General features: G+C 39.8%; 1 protein-coding gene across 3 annotated transcripts in view; it reads right to left on the bottom strand.

The window, feature by feature from the left end:
• ZNF892 (zinc finger protein 892) overlaps positions 1-16,610 on the bottom strand; it is a 57,232-nt gene that overhangs the window by 38,776 nt on the left and 1,846 nt on the right. For 2 of the 3 annotated variants that reach the window (XM_047444126.1, NM_001395961.1), the window contains exons 2-5: positions 16,075-16,163; positions 13,091-13,193; positions 12,529-12,618; positions 972-10,475 (exon numbers count right to left, since the gene is read on the bottom strand). In XM_047444126.1, coding sequence (XP_047300082.1) covers positions 9,208-10,475; positions 12,529-12,618; positions 13,091-13,187 — 1,455 coding nt within the window. In that variant the 5' untranslated portion in view covers positions 13,188-13,193; positions 16,075-16,163 and the 3' untranslated portion in view covers positions 972-9,207. Of the gene's footprint in view, positions 1-971; positions 10,476-12,528; positions 12,619-13,090; positions 13,194-16,074; positions 16,164-16,610 lie in introns of those variants that run through there. The other variant, XR_007073288.1, reaches the window with a different exon arrangement.

Genomic DNA, 16,610 nt, shown 5'->3' with positions numbered 1-16,610 from the left:
CCCATAATCCATTGACCTCCCATTAGGCCCTACCTCCCAGAACCACCTCACTGGGGATCAAGCTGCCAACACATGAACTTTAGGGGACACATTCTGATATGGTTTGGGTCTGTGGCCCTGCCCAAATCTCATGTCAAATTGTAATCCTCAATGTTGGAGGTGGGACCTGATTGGAGGCGATTGGATCATGAGGGCAGATTTCCCCCTTTGGTGCTATTCTTGTGATAAGAGTTCTCATGAGATCTGGTTGTTTTAAAGTGTGTGGCACCTTTCCCCCTCTCCTGCTCTGGCCATGTAAGATGAGCCTGTTTCCCCTTTGCCTTCCCCCATGATTGTAAGCTCCCTGAGGCCTCCCCAGCCACGCCTCCTGTAAAGCCTGTGGAACCGTGAGCCAATTAAACCTCTTTTCCTTATAACTTACTTAGTTTCCGGTTATTTATAGCACGTGAAAATGGGCTAATACACCTTCAAACCACACCAGATCATATACTGTATGATGACTGTATGATTCCATTTATATGAAATGTCCAGAACAGGCAAATCTACAAACATAGACAGTGTATTCATGGTTGCCTAGTGCTGGGGAGAATAGAGGAGTTAGGAGTTACCTTAGTCTGTTCCAGCTGCCATAACAAATGCACCATAGACTGAGTAGCTTATAAACAACAATAAATGATTTCTTACAGTTCTGGAGGCTGGGAAGTCCAAGGCACCAGCATAATGAAATGTGAGTGAGAACCCACTTTCTAGCTCACAGATGACTGTCTTTTCATTGTGTCCTCACAAGGGAGAAGGGGTGAGTGATCTGTTTGGGGCCACTTTCATAGGAGCACTGAGCTCATTCATGAGGGCTATGCCCTCTTGACCTAATCACTTCCCAAAGGCCCCATCTCCTAATGCCATCACCTTAGGGGTTAGGATTGCAACTTATGAATTTCGAGGGTACACAAACATACAGACCATAGCAGAAGTTATAGCTAAAAGTTTTATTTTAGAGGTGATAATGTTCTAAGATTTATTGTGGTGATGGTCATACAACTCTGTGCACTGAATTGTACATTTTAAATGGATGAATTTTATGGTATATAAATTATATCTCAATAAGTCTGTGGTGGAGCAGAGTGGCTCATGCTTGTATTTCCAGCACTTTGGGAGGCCAAGGTGGGCAGATTGCTTGAGCTCATGATTTCAAGACCAGCCTGGCCAACATGGTGAAACCCCATTTCTACAAAAGATGCAAAAAATTTAGCTGGGTGTGGTGGTGCATGCCTGTAATCCCAGCTACTCGAGAGACTGAGGTGGAAGGACTGCTTGAGCCCAGGAGGTTGAGGTTGCAAAGAGCCAAAATCGCACCACCACTGTACTCCAGCCTGGGTGAGAGAGTGAGACCTTGTTTCAAACCTCCTCCCCCCCAAAAAAACCCCAATATTATCTGTTATAAAGTATTCTTATGTTTAAAGAAAGTTGCTACATAATGGGAAAACATTCAAATCACCAGAGATTTGACAATTCTTAGCCTGTATTTGGATAACAACTGAGTGTCAAAATATATAAAGTAAAACTTGACATAATATATAGACAAATATATGACAGTGGAAACATATAAATTAGAAAAAGAATAAATTTGAAGGGCTTACATTACCTGATTTTGAGATTTACTACAAAGCTACAGTAATCAAGACAATGTGTGGCTTTGGCAAAGGGATGGACACATAGATCAATGGAATAGAACAGAAAACTGAGAAACAGACCCGCTTAACTATGATCAATCAATTGTTGACAAAAGGGCAAAGGCAATTCAATGGAGAAACACTATGTTTTCCACAAATGATGCTGAAACATCTGGATAACCACATGTAAAAACAATGAGCTGGGCCTTTATTTAACACCTTATATAAAAATTACCTAAAATGGATGTAAGTGAAAAACATTATCATTAAGCTACTAGAAGAAAAATTTCCTAAACATTAGTTAGGGATGGGGTTCTTAAATATGACACCAAAGTATGGTCCATAGAGGGAAAAACTGGACTTCATTAACATTTAAAACCTTTGCTTTATAAAAGACACTGAAATAAAAATTGAATAAAAGAGAATAAAAAGACAAGCCACAAACTACAAAACTAAACTAGGAAAACAAACAATAGAATTCTTTTAAAATGGCAAAAGATTTGAACACTTCATCAAAGATACACAGATGGACAATAAGCACACGAAAAGATGCTCAACATCATTAGTCACTAAGGAAATGCAAATTGAAGCCACATTGAGATACCACTACACATCTACTAGAATGGATAAAATAAAAACAATGAGAATACCTGGTGTTGGCAAATTATGGAGCAACCACATCTTCATACGTTGCTGGTGGGAAAACAAAATTAATCATTCTGGAAAAGGTTGGCCCTGTGTTACAAAGGTAAACATACACTCACCATATGACCTAACCATTTCACTCCAATATTTACCCTACAGAGATGAATATTTATGTTCATACAAAAACCTAATGTTTCTAATAGTTTTATTCATAATCACTAAAAATTATAAACAACCTAAATGTGCTTCAGTGGGTTAATGGCTAAGAATATTGTGGTACCTAACATGGAAAACTACTCAGCAATAAAAATGAATAAATGACACAACACTGATGAAAATCAAAGCCTTTATACTCAATGCGGGGTGGGGAGCCACTCTTAAAAAAAAGCAGCACAGGTGGAATTTGTTGGTGCAGTGGAATTGTTCTGTACCCTTTGTGGTGATGGTGACACAAGTCTACATAGGTCATTTTAAGACAGAACTGTGGAAGGAAGAAAGGAAGAAGGGAGGAAGAAAGAGAAAGGGGTGAAAGGAGAAGGAGGAAGATAGGGAGGAGGAAGAGAGAGGGAGGGAGGAGGAGAAGAAGGAACTATTATAACCACACACACAATTATGGTGGTAGTTACAAGGGTAATATCTTCGTCAAACATAGCAAACACCTTTAAGTGGGTGAATTTTATTGTGCACTTTGATAAAAGTTGATTTTTGCAAAAGTTCAAAAAGTCAGTTATTTTAAAAGACTAGTAAAGTTGACACATCTCTAGAAACATTACCAAGAGAGGATACAAATAAGCAATATCAGGAAAGAAAAAAGGGACTAAGTTCAAATAGAACAAGTACTTGAAAATAAAAATATTTTAAACAACTCGATGACCAAAAAGGATACATTTTTAGAAAAACCTACAACTTTCTAGAAGAAACAGTAAATCTAAATAGCCCCTAAAACCAACCATACCACACACTACAAACACAATAATCCCAGTTTAACAGATGAATGCAACTAAAATTCAAGGGACACAAACTCCCCCAGAGATGGAGAAAAAAATCACGAAATTGCATCCCAGAAGTGCGAGGATTCTTTAACATCAGAAAATCAATGTACTTTACCACATTAATAGATTAAAAGGAACCATATGATTATCTCAAAAGATGCAGATTTTAACAGGATCCCAGAAAACTTACTTAAAAAGATAAAAAGCCTCATTCCATTATATTCACAGTTGTTTTTATTGGGCTACACCACTGTGAAGCATACATGATGGATATGTCTTCTAAATGACTATATGAATAATACCTAATAGTTACGTAGCACCTGATAGCTTACAAACCACATTTGCATCCATTTTCGACCTAACTCTTGCAATCATTCTCAAGTAGGCATTAAATTTTAAAACATATATCTATGAGGAAACAGATTTCAAAGGATGAAGGTGACTTGTCCCAAATCTCAGTTATTTTCATTCTTTATTTTGTTGATTCTCTATGATATCATATGTCATATGGCAAATTAAAGTGAACAGATAGCCACATGTACATAATATATAATTGTAAAAAAATCCAAAATTCTGAGTCCAGTTCTCCAGTGCTTCTCATATGTTTTTCAAACAAAAATACAAATAAAAAAATGTAACCCTATAGTTTATATTCTTAGTCATAGCTATTCTTCTCCAGTTTATAACCTACAATTAAATACTGGTGTTTCCTCAATTTATAAACTATTGTTCCTTCAAAGCTAGATGAAGCAGGCTGATAGTTTCTACCTATCAAATTGGCAGCTTATCTTCAGGACAAATGACCTGTATATACCACAAACCCTTAGGTTATATACCACAAACCCTATATATACCACAACTTGATGTGTGATTTCAGTGTCAAGCACCAGGATGTCACGGGAAAGGTGGAGCACTACTTTCTCCTATCGCTCTCACTAACTACAACTAAAAATCCGGGATATTATATACAAAGCAAACATAAGAAAGTTCTAAAAGGTGGAGAGAGAATGGACTGGCCAGGGACCTCAGAACCTGAGGAAGAACACAGCAGTGACTTTCTTGGGCTTTCTTATTGCCTCATCTATCCCAGATCGGGTTCTAGAGAAGCTGGCAACCCGGAAACGCCAACAGGCACAGACCAAAAAAAAAAAAAAAGCCCCAAGAAAAATCTGCTTTTTTTAGCCAAAGGACTGGGAAGGGAGCAGCCTAGCAAGACAGAAAATGTTTAGAAAACCACAATCCTACTTCAAAGACCACAGAAGAAAGCTATGGTCCTATCCCCGCCAACAAACGCCTATACTTCCACCCTCACCAGGCTGTAACAAGGCTCCTCAGTCCTCCACCTTTACCCTGGGGTGGTATCAGAGAAGACCAACTGAGCAGACAGATTTCTAAAACCCACCCCTCCCCACACATTGCCCTGGCAGCGTCCCCCCTACCCAGAGCCATCTCTCTTCTTCCTTACTGGTGTGGTTTCAGTGGAAGCCAAGTGGGGGGTCAGGACTTATACCAATTCCCAATAGTAATGATGTTACCCTCAACCCCACAGCATGCTGTCAATCGAGGCCATGTAAGTAGCAATAACAAGGCATTCCTGATCTTCCCCAGCCAGTGTGGTGTCAGCAGAGGCCTAGTGGGGAGCTATAAATCCCACCCTTGCCGAGCAGTATTAAGGACACCTGCCCCAGGAGTCATTAGAGGTCAATGGTGAACCTGGACTTCCAACACCAACTTAAAGTAATGAGGCAGCACCCCCTGCAACACTTTCTCCACCACAGTGGTATCAGAGGAGGCCTGTCAATGCAGAAGACTTAAATAGGATACCAAATCTCATACCAAAATACTCAAAATGTCCAGACTTCAACTGAAAATCACTCATCATACCAAGAACCAAGAAAATCTCAACTTAAATGAGAAGATAACCCAAAGATGTCAACACTGAGATGACACAGATGTTAGGATAACCTGCAAGGATTTTAAAGCAGCCATCACAAAAATGCCTCAATGAGTAATTACAAACATGCTCAATACAAACAAAATAAGCAAAGAAAGGCTCTCAGCAAGGAAACAGAACAAAGAATCAAATGGAACTGAAAAATACAATAACTGAAATAAAACTCAAGGATGGTCTCAACAGCAGAATCAAAAGGACAGAGGGAAGATCTAGTGAACTTGAAGATATAAAAACAGAAAATACTTGGCCGGGGCGGTGGCTCATGCCTGTAATCCCAGCACTTTGGGAGGCCGAAGCGGGCGGATCATGAGGTCAGGAGATCGAGACCACCCTGGCTAACATGATGAAACCACGTCTCTACTAAAAATACAAAAAAAAAAAAAATTAGCCGGGCATGGTAGCAGGCGCCTGTAGGCCCAGCTACTTGGGAGGCTGAGGCAGGAGAATGGCGTGAACCTGGGAGGTGGAGCTTGCAGTTAGCTGAAATCGCGCCACTGCACTCCAGCCTGGACAAGAGCGAGACTCCCTCTCAAACAAACAAACAAAAAAAAGAAAATGCTCAATCTGAAGAGAGAAAACTGTTATGAACTATGTCCCCACGACCCCAATTCATTGTTGACACCCTAACCCTCAATGTGACTATATTTGGAGATAGGTTCTGAGGAAGTAATTAAGGTTAAAAGAGACCTTAAAGGTGGGGTCCCAATCCAATTTCTCTCCACACCTATGCACTGAGAAAAGGTCATGTGAGAACACAGTGAGAGGGCAACCATCTACAAGCCAGGAACTGAACGCTGTTGGACCCTGATTTTAGACTTACAGCTTCCAGGACTGTGAGAAATAAATTTCTGTTGTTTGAGCTGCCCAGTCTACGGATTTTTGTTATGGCAGACCAAGCAGATTGAGATTTTGGTACCCAGAAGGGGGATGCTGCTGTAACAAATACCTCAAAATGTGAAGGCAGCTTTGGAACTGGGTGATGGGTAGAGGCTAAAAGAGTTTTGAGGTACATGCTAGAGATATGGATATTAAAGGCCACTCTGGCAAGGTCTCAGATGGCAATGAGGTACATGTTATTAGAACTGGAAAAAAAAAAGGTGGTTCTTGTTATAAAGTGGCAAAGAACTTCTCTGAACTGTTCTAGTGTTTTCTGAAAGGCAGAACTTGAGAGTGATGAAACTGTTTATTTAGGAGATTTCTAAGCAAAGCACTGAAGGTGCAGCTTGGGTCCCCTTAGTGCTTGTAGTAAAATGTGAGAGGAGAGACATTAAGTGAAAAAGGAACTGTTAAGAAACAAGGAAGCACAATTAAAGAGATTTGAAAATTCTATCCATATCACAAAAATATGGGAAAATTTGCTACGAAGAAAACACTAAGAGTGTGGCTTAACAACCATTTGATAAATAGATCAGATGGGTTTAGCAGCCCCAGGAGAAGCCAGGAATATAAATGGGATTATAACAGCAGAAACACAGCCACCTGGCACTAAAGGGGACAGAAAAACAACAAAATAAAATGAAGGCAGGCTTTAGGACTTCTTAGATCCTACAGAACCAGACTAGAGAGCCATTTGTCTATGAATATGTGTTATCCTTCAAGAAAAGAGAATGATCCTGAAAGCAATTCAGAGACCATTGGGGATGCCTCCTGTTTCAAAGGGTGGAACCATCACCCTGGTCTCAACAGAACAGAAAGCCTCCAACTGAAGACTTAGGGGCAGAATTGTCCTGCAGAGGCTTAGGAGAGGGGCTACCTGGCAGTACCACAGAGATAGGACCACTACCCCAGTGGATCTGGAAGGCAGAGCATTGAGCAAAAGAGGGTTATTCTCACAAGATCTGACGAAACGAAGGCCTAATGGAATTTGCCTTGCTAAGTTTTAGACTTGCTCAGGATGCATCCCTCCTCCTACTTTCCTATTTCTCCCCCTGTGGAATGGGAATGCCTACATTATGTCCAGATCACAAATGTATTTTGGAAGCACATAACTTGTTTGGTTTCACAGGTTCACAGCTGCAGAGTAATTTTGCCTCAGGATGAATTGTATCTTGAGTCTTAGCCATATCTGATTTAGGTGATATTTACCTGAAGGTCTGGACTTTAGAGCTAATGCTAGAATGAGTTAGGGCTTTGGGGGCTGTTGGAATGGAATAAACGTATTCTGCACAGAAGGACATAAATTCGGTGGGGGGCTGGGGTGGAATCTTATGGACTAAACGTATCCCCTCTTCCCCAAAATTTTGTTGAAGTCCTAATCCCCAATGTGAATTCATGTGGAGACAGGGTTTTCAGGGGGGTAATTAGGGTTAAATGAGGTAATAAGGGCAGAGTCCTAATCTGCTAGAACTGGTGGACTGATAAGAAGAGGGAGCTATTTCTCTCTCCCTTTCCCAACTGGCCCCCCATCTGCATGCACTACAGACATGAGAAGACACAGTGAGAAGGCAGCTATCTGTAAGCCAGGAGGAAAGCCCTCACTAGAAGCAGAGTCAGCAGGCACCTTGATCTTGGACGTCCCAGCCTCCAGAACTGTTAGAAATACATATTTTTTTGAGCCACTCAGTCAGTCTATGCTATCTTGTTATGGCAGATTGAGCAGATTCAGACAAAAATCCTCAAGAAAAAATGAACAGAGCCTCAGGAACTTGTGAGACTACAACCAAAGAGCTAACATTTCTTTCATTAGAGTCCCAGAAGAAAAGGAGTAGAAGGTGGGGGCTAAAATGTATTTAAAGAGATGAGGGCTGAAAATCTCCCAAATTTGGCAAAAGACATAAACCTACAGATTGAAGAGCTAAGCAAACCCCAAACAGGGTAAACTAAAAGAAATTCACACCAAGATACATCATAGTATAACTTCCTAAAATTAAAAACACTGCACTCAAAATAATATGTCCAATAATCTTCAAAGTTTCAATGAAAAAAATATAAAAAGATGCCACCTGCCTCTACCCAAGAGTAAAATGGTAAAAGGTATTTCAAAATCTTTTCAAGTTTTTCATAATCTAATATGCAGTGTCAGTGCAAATCTACAACTAAACTTTACTATAAGCTATAAAAAAATCTAAGGTACAAACTAGATACAACTGAGGTAAATCTTTGTAAATAAGCACATTCTCAGGTAACTCAGATAACTTAAAACAGTTTGAACACATCAAAGGTCTCTTCTGTACTCAATTTTCTAAGCTGTTGTTCTTGACCCTTGGAATTAACATGATTTAGTAGGCAATGTCTCAATAAGCAAGGTCTAAAAGACAAAAAGTCCAAAAGCAAACACCCTGCATTACCCTGCAGCCAACATTCCTTAGTTGCAGGGTAAGGCTACCCTCACAGAAACTTTTCAACTGACCAACTAGCAAGTCTATATTTCTCATGGTTGTGAATATTCAGTTGAGTAGTTCTCATAATCAACATTTCTTGGGTTCATTCCCCTAGCTCTTTTTTTCTATCCTTTCCCTCTACTTCCTTTGGCTCCTTAAACTTAAGAATGAAGGACAACTTCCCTTCCACCACCACTCCTGACTCTGGACAAACTCATTGTGAATTCTCGATCTCTTTTTTCTACCCATGCAACTTCCCTAAAAGGATAACTTATCTCTTTAAAACTTATATTGTTAGTATTATGAAAATACCTGGCACAGTCAAGATGTCCCGTTTCCACCATGGCACACCCCATTTCTCTCCCAAGGATATGGCAATTTACATACACGTTAGGGTGTTACAAATAATTTTCCTCTTTCCTGAGGGAATGTCAGTGTCCTCTGCCAGAACACTTTTAAAAATGTAAAACTATACTTTCACAGTCTAATCATGTTACCTCCCACATCAGCAATGACTTGTCAATAACTTTTTTGCAACACAGTCTTAAATTTCTTTGTAGACCCCCACAGCAAGTATGGTAAATGCTCAATAACTATGCTCTGAATGTACCACATTTACATAGTCTTTATCCAGTATGAATTCTCTTGTGTTGGCCAAAGGTTAAATGCTCACTAAGAGCTTGGACATATTTCTTGGTTTTCACTCCAGCATGAGTTTTCTGATGTTGAGAGAGGGATGAACTCTGGCTAAAGGCTTTTCCACATTCCTTACACTTGTAGGGCTTTTCTCCAGTGTGAGTTTTCTGATGCTTTGTAAGAGATGAGCTCTGGCTGAATGCTTTTCCACAATCTTTACATTTGTAAGGTTTCTCTCCAGTGTGTGTTCTCTGATGACGAATAAGGGCTGAGCGGTCACTGAAGGCTTTGGCACAATCATTGCATTTATAGGGTTTCTCCCCAGTGTGAGTCCTCTGGTGCTGAGTCAGGGCTGAGCAGTAGCCAAAGGCTTTCCCACATTCGTTACACTCATATGGCCGCTCCCCAGTATGAGTTCTCTGGTGCTGGATAAGACCTGACCGATCACTAAAGGCTTTGCCACATTCGTTACACTTATAAGGTTTCTCTCCAGTGTGAATGACCTGATGCTGGGTAAGGAATGTGCTTTGGCTGAAGGCCTTCCCACATTCATTACACTCATAAGGTTTCTCTCCAGTATGAATTCGCTGATGTTGAGTGAGGTATGAACTCTGATTAAAGGCCTTCCCGCATTCATTGCATTCATAGGGTTTTTCTCCAGTATGAATTATATGATGCCGAATAAGGGCTGAGCGGTGACTGAAGGCTTTCCCACACTCATGACATTCATAGGGTTTCTCCCCAGTATGAATTCTCTGGTGCAGAGTAAGGTGTATGCTCTGGCTAAAGGCTTTACCACATTCGTTACATTCATAGGGTTTTTCTCCTGTGTGAATTCTCTGATGCAAGACAAAAGCTGAGTAGTAACTGAAGGCTTTCTCGCATTCATTGCATTTCCAAGGTTTCTTTCCTGCACAAATTCTCTCATGCCTAATTATATCTGAATTTTGTTTTAAGTTATTTTTAAATGAATCACAATGATGTAGTCTCTCTCCTTGCTGCTGAACAAGTAAGGACCTCTGAGTGCAATTTCTTCTAAATTCATCAGATTGGTAGCTTCTCTCCCTAGAAGATTTCTCAGTGACAGCCTCTTGTATTAAATGTTTCTCATGGTTTTCCTGCTGACTCTCTAAAGAATCCTCACATTCACTAGAACTTTCCTTTGAAAATCTTACAATTAACACCCCAGGAGCCGATTCTTCTTCAGAAATATCCTTCTCTGGAGTTAGCTCCTTGCTTTCTGGTATTGTTTCCCAGTCTGAAATAAGCAAAAACACACATGTGTATCATTTCCTACACTGAGAGAAAAATAACTGCTGTGGTAGGAAATTAATGAAACATGTTTGTTTCATTCTTTGTTAGGAATATTTACAGGGAACACATGAACTTGAAAGCTCTCAAAAATAGTCTTGCAATCTTGAGAGAACACAAGAAAAAAAAGATGACTGGACAAAGAAGTACGACGGCATAAAAGGAGTGTGTGTGCAGGTACTCAACATTCCTCTATGCAGCAGGATAGGAAATAACAAAAAATAACAGAATGAGACTAAGAAGAGGTGATATGGAGAAATAGCAGATTTTTTTAAAAAAGGATCTAGAGGAGATAGATCCTTTAGAGGAGATAGGATCAGAGAAAGATGGTCTTCCAAAGACTCACTGTACCCATCTGACCAGAGCCTTATCATTTCATGCCTCAAGAATGACCATCTTTAGCTAATCTCCTTGCCACCAATCTTTTCCTACTCCAATATGTCCCAACCACTGCTAAAAGACTAATTGCTCAAAACCATCTCCCTTTCACAAAAATCTGTTGGTTCTACTGTCTCAAGATAAGACACAAATTCTAGAAGCTAGCATTCAACATAGTCCAGGTCTACAAACTCAAATGACCACAAAGCTTATTAATTGGAAAGCAACTAATCACCTCTGATTGCTTACCATCACCCTAGACCCAGCAAACTGGAAAGAGTAAAACAGAACCAAGAAGAAAGAAAAAAGAGAGAAAGGAAAGAAAGAGAAAAACAGCAGTGTGTTGGGAGGGGAAGGTCAAAACTCCATGTGTTCAGATGAGTCCCCAACCTCTCAAGATATCTACCCCAAGTTCCTGGGCTTCCTAGTAAGAATTTGAGGGGGAAAAGCTTCATTGCTAAAAATGTTTAAATACTTCCAAGCTTAAATGGTCTTTAACACCCATTCCAATCATGTCTCTACATGAAATAAATTAATACAATACAGTGTTCTCAACTAGATATATTCAGGGAAGTGCCTGGGATTTTAAAGGACAAATAGGTAGAATAGGTTAAAAGCAAATGGACATCCAGCTAAGGGGAGTGGAAAAAATTAAAGCCCCAAATGTTCATGAACACACAGTTAGTGGAGGATAGTGAGGGACTTGCCTATCTGATGTTAAGAGTTCAAGTTGAAGAACAGAGAAGGCAAAAAAGTTAGGCAGACTAACAACGGCTTTGAAAGCAGGTAGAGGAATACAGAGCTGGCAGAGTAAGCAACTCAATGGGGAATCTAGCAGTATTATGCTGCCTCAATTTTACAAGGGTAAGAGTAAAAGAAAGTATAATTAGCCAACAGTCTTTTGCAGTAATCCAGTTTGACAGAAGTAACAGGGTCAAATCCATAACATCTTTCAAAAAAGTTACTAGGACTTAATAGCTATCTTTGCTTAGCATATAGCCAGGTACTGTTTAAAACATTTCTCTTGGATTATTTCCTTTGATCACCACCAAAACAGTATAAGCTCTGTGCTATCATTATCCCCATTTTAATTTAAGTCACAGAGAACACAAGTCATTTGTTAAAGGTCACAAAGCTAATGAGTAGCTAAGATCAGCTTTAAACCAAGGAAGCTTAGTTCCAAAGTCTGCAGTCTTAACCATCATGCTATGCTGCCTCTGCTTAGACAGAGAAGGTGGCAAGGGAAAACCCAGAGATGAATTTACAGTCATTGATCTGAGACTCAAAAAAATGGCATCCAGCAAAGATAAAATAACACATGTAAAAAATCCTGCTTTAGAGCCTTGAACCCAAGCAAGTTATTAACAAACATTAAAATGTTGGTTTCATTTTACCTTATTTGGGAAAAAGAATTGGTTTGAAAGAGTAGAAAGTATTTACTTTCTAAAAAATCAAATTATAACTTTATAAACAGATAACCATCCACAGAGCTAGGATGTGGCATAGGGGTGAGACAGGGACTTCAACTTTTCCATGGGTCTAGCAAAATCTGGACAGGCTCCTCCTCCACAAGCATTTGCATTGACAATCTGGGTTTTACTTGCACTGTTTCCAACACTCACGCTTTTGACTGGCTGCCTTTGAGACTTCTCTCTCCAGCTCTTCCTCATGCTCCAACTGAGAGATTACATCAGGTGTGGAAATTGGAAGCCCTATTCATAGGGAAAGAAAAAGGAGTCTGGTGAAGACCTCAGTGTTCATTCCCTGGTCTTTAGGAACATGGTAAGAGAGGGAGAGAGTGAGGTCAGTTCTCCATTTCTTCCTCAACAGTGTTCACGAGGTAGGAAGATTGATAGGGGTTTGAGTCCCTTATCAATTTTACCTCCCCCTATTTAAAGAATAAGCATCCATTCTCTTAAGAGTTGTTTTCATTAGCACTTTGTCTCCACATCCTTGGTCAAGGAGTTGAGAAGAAGGATGCTACAAGTCCATAAAATAAAGGTGTTTATGTCTAATTCCAGGAGTGTTAAAACTATATCCAGAAACAAAAGGCAGAAATTGCCTGTCTCAGGCCCTACTAGAATTAAGAATCATTGAATATAAGGACCTTGGAGCTCCTAGGAACTGAGGAGGACAAGGTACCACACTGGGTAAATTCACAGGCATTGGGGGAGCCATCCTTACCCAGCAAGACCAGATTCCTAGGCTTCTCAGGCACATCTCCCTGAGGAGAGTTCAGCTGCCTCCACTGGGTGAGAGCCTCGGCCATATCCCTGATCATCAATTCCTGAAAAACCAAACACATTGGTGCTCACCAATGAGCCTCCTTACAGAGGCCTCTGAAGAGGAATAAAACTGACAGCACAGGAGGAGGAAGACAGAAAGGATAAAAAAAGGACAGACAACATGGCCTTGGCCACCCTTTCCAGTACTAAGATTCTCTGGTGAATATGTAGTCCACAGACTCACTCTCTGCCTCCAGGCAGCAGAAATGCATATTACCTGCAAGTAGGAAGGAAAGCACCTTCAATGTAAAACTTGAACGTATGAACTTTTTAGTTTATGTATCAATAAATTACAGAACTACAGAATTTGCTACTACTTATACAGGAAAAAGGAGAGAAAAATGTAATTATGAATTAAGTATTTTCCTTATGGTATAGTTTTTAAAACATATGGGGTTCAAGAAATTGAAGTATTTTTTCTCTAGTTTTCCTAAGAATGAAATCAGTCCCATATATATTAAAAATTAAGATGTTTCCTACACGTCACAGAATATAGACTTATTTGTAAAACAGTATCTGAAGCCCAAATGATTATGAAAGTTCCCAGAGTGTTCTTGTCATTTTTCACAACGACCCTGATCAATCTGCCCGCGTCCCCCAGTTGGTGGCATTCTTTCATCTGCTTGAAGTGTGTGTCCTATTCCCGTTAGCCCCTTTACACATCCTGCTTCCTATTCCTGAATATTCTGCCCTCTGCCCCATCCTTTCAGCAATGTGAATCCTTCTCTCCCTTCAGATCTCAGCTCAGGTGTTACTTCAAGGGAAGCCTTCCCTGACTCTCTAGTTAGAACACATGTTCCTTCCATTCCCTTGGGTTGCACACATAGAGGGGATCTTGTGGCTAACATAAGCTCCACAGGAGCAGAGGCCAGGTCTATTTTTGCTCACTGAAGCAGCCTAGTACTTGGCACAGAGCAGAAACTCTGTAAATATTTGTTGAATATTTGAATGAAAGAAAGGAAGGAAGGAACAAGAATTAATAGAAACAAGTTTAAATGGGGTGTTCTATAAACGTGTGCATGGGAACAGAAGTGGGGAGGAGAACAGAAGCCTATTAAACATTGAAAACACTGCAGGAGTATTTAGCCTAACCTTCATCTAGATGACAGACACAAAGTTTAGTTTGTTTACTAAAATACTGAAATAAGGGAGTAGGGCAGGTAATGCTCTTTTGAATCTGTTAGTGCTGATAAGACAAATGTCTAATAATTTTTCAAATTCTATTTTTAAAATTTCTATGCAACTACAATTTAACTTAGAGTAAAATAAACCATCCCTTGGGTTAGCAAATGAATCAGTTTTACCGCTCTTTAAACTACCACTTGGGCCAGAGCCCCTTGAATATATATACACACACATATATATACACATATATATATACATATATACACATATATATACATATATACACATATATACATATATACACATATACATATATACACATATATACATATATACACATATATACATATATACATGTATACACATATATACACACATATATACACACATATACACACATATATATACATATATACATATATATATGAATCGAACGGTTAATTTTGTTTATATTCAGCTTTCTAATGCATATTTCAGTCTTTCAAAAATGACTGGTAAAACAAAGCACATAATGACATAAAGTTAAAAGAACTACCTACTCTGAAAATCCTCTGCCCAAAATACACTCTTTAACACTTCAAGTAAGAAATCCCACACTTTTAAGTTTATGGCCCCTTAAGGTCATATGCCTCAGGAATGATCAGCACAAGTAATATAACATGCACCATCTTCGTTCTGTACAAACAATGCTAACACTAACAGACTAACAGGCAGTTGCTTTCAGACTTCAGTTCCCTAAGAAAACCTCAGTAATCAACTCACAGGCAGGCCAATCAGACACTGTCAGCAGGTGCTACTTTCTCTCCCCTCATCTTTCTGAAAGCGATCTACCAATTCACAGATCAAAATCAATACTGGCATTTTCTCCCATGGTTTTATAAGGATCATCAGTACCTGTATGCTGTTAGGCCTGGTGTGACGGAAATAAAGAGTCCCAGCACCTGAACCAAGGGGTCTGCCAATCTCCCACTGTCTTGGCCAGATCTTACAGAAGCATCTTTACTAATCCTCTCTCTCCAATCAGCTATGGCATGTTTCATCTTGCTGGGCCTCTAAAAACCTTCATGAGGCCTTCATTTGCCTCTGGAATAAGACCGAGTGTAGACTGTCCTGGGGTCTGGGTACAACACAGCCGAGCTTCCCTCACCACAGTCTAGGTCAACCCACAGTGACTCACACATCCACACATCCTCGGAAGACCTCCAACTCCCTCATCATTTGAAGACTTTTTTTTTATTTTTTGGCCAAAGCTATTCTGTCTTGTAATATTCCCTTATTCTACCCTCCAACTACCCACTCTCTCTTGTTTTTCAAAGTACAGATTTATCCCACACTTCTCCCAAACAGATGATAAAAAAAAACTCTTTCAGAGACTTTCATGACTTGTCTGGACCAATGATTTCTATGTTTAAAAAATACCTATTTCTTCGTGTTTAACTATTTTATTTATGTATTTCTCACTGCCTTAGTAAACTCCACGATGCAGGAGCAAGTGGCTTTTACTTCTTTGCATCTCACCAAGGCCAATTACAGTACTCAATGTGTGTGCAGCAAACACTCAGTGGGCAGAGAGAAAGCAACGCTGGGAAGAAAGTTCTGCACAACTGAAGAACACTTCCTTTGGGGTCATCAGTCATCAGTTTATCAGGATGAACCCAGTGGTCTAAGCATCAGGGCTGAGCAATTCCATAAGCACTGGAAGGAAAGACATCCTTGCTCTGAGAACAGAAGGAAAAGAAAGAAGAAATCTAAACTTACTTGGGACCCAGGGGTCAGCAGCACAGCAGTCACGTCATTTTCTTTTGGGTTTCCAGCATGGAGAAGGTCTGAGTCCTCAAAAAGTGATCCTAAAAGTGGAGACAGGAGCCATGATGATTACTCTGTCCTTGCAATAAACTAGCAGGAAGTGCCACACACCAGCTAGTTGTCATCTAAGAAGAGTCAACACTGGGAACCAAACGAAAATCGCATAATATCTTTTAATCAAGACACCTTGACCATTGCTGTCTCAGGCTCCTCCTATTCTCTGTCCTTAAACTCCAGTAGAACTCCTATGAGCATCTGGACATATAAATTAAACATATTTTTATATTGCATGTGCTAAGTAGTCAAAATAATACTCAAAGTCTTTGTATGTCCACGCCTCAGTGATTCATCTGTGTTGTATTCCAGGCTCACAGGATAAACGAAGACTAAATTCTTTTTGAACACTGACTTTTCAGATATTAATACAACACCGCCTGACTCAGAAAAGTGATGCGTCTTATGGAAAAACCACCACCACCACCAAAAAC

The sequence above is a fragment of the Homo sapiens genome, chromosome 2 (assembly GCF_000001405.40).
Source record: "Homo sapiens chromosome 2, GRCh38.p14 Primary Assembly".
Classification (NCBI taxonomy): domain Eukaryota; kingdom Metazoa; phylum Chordata; class Mammalia; order Primates; family Hominidae; genus Homo; species Homo sapiens.
Note: the sequence above shows the minus strand (reverse complement) of the source record. Positions and strands in the feature narration are given on the sequence as shown.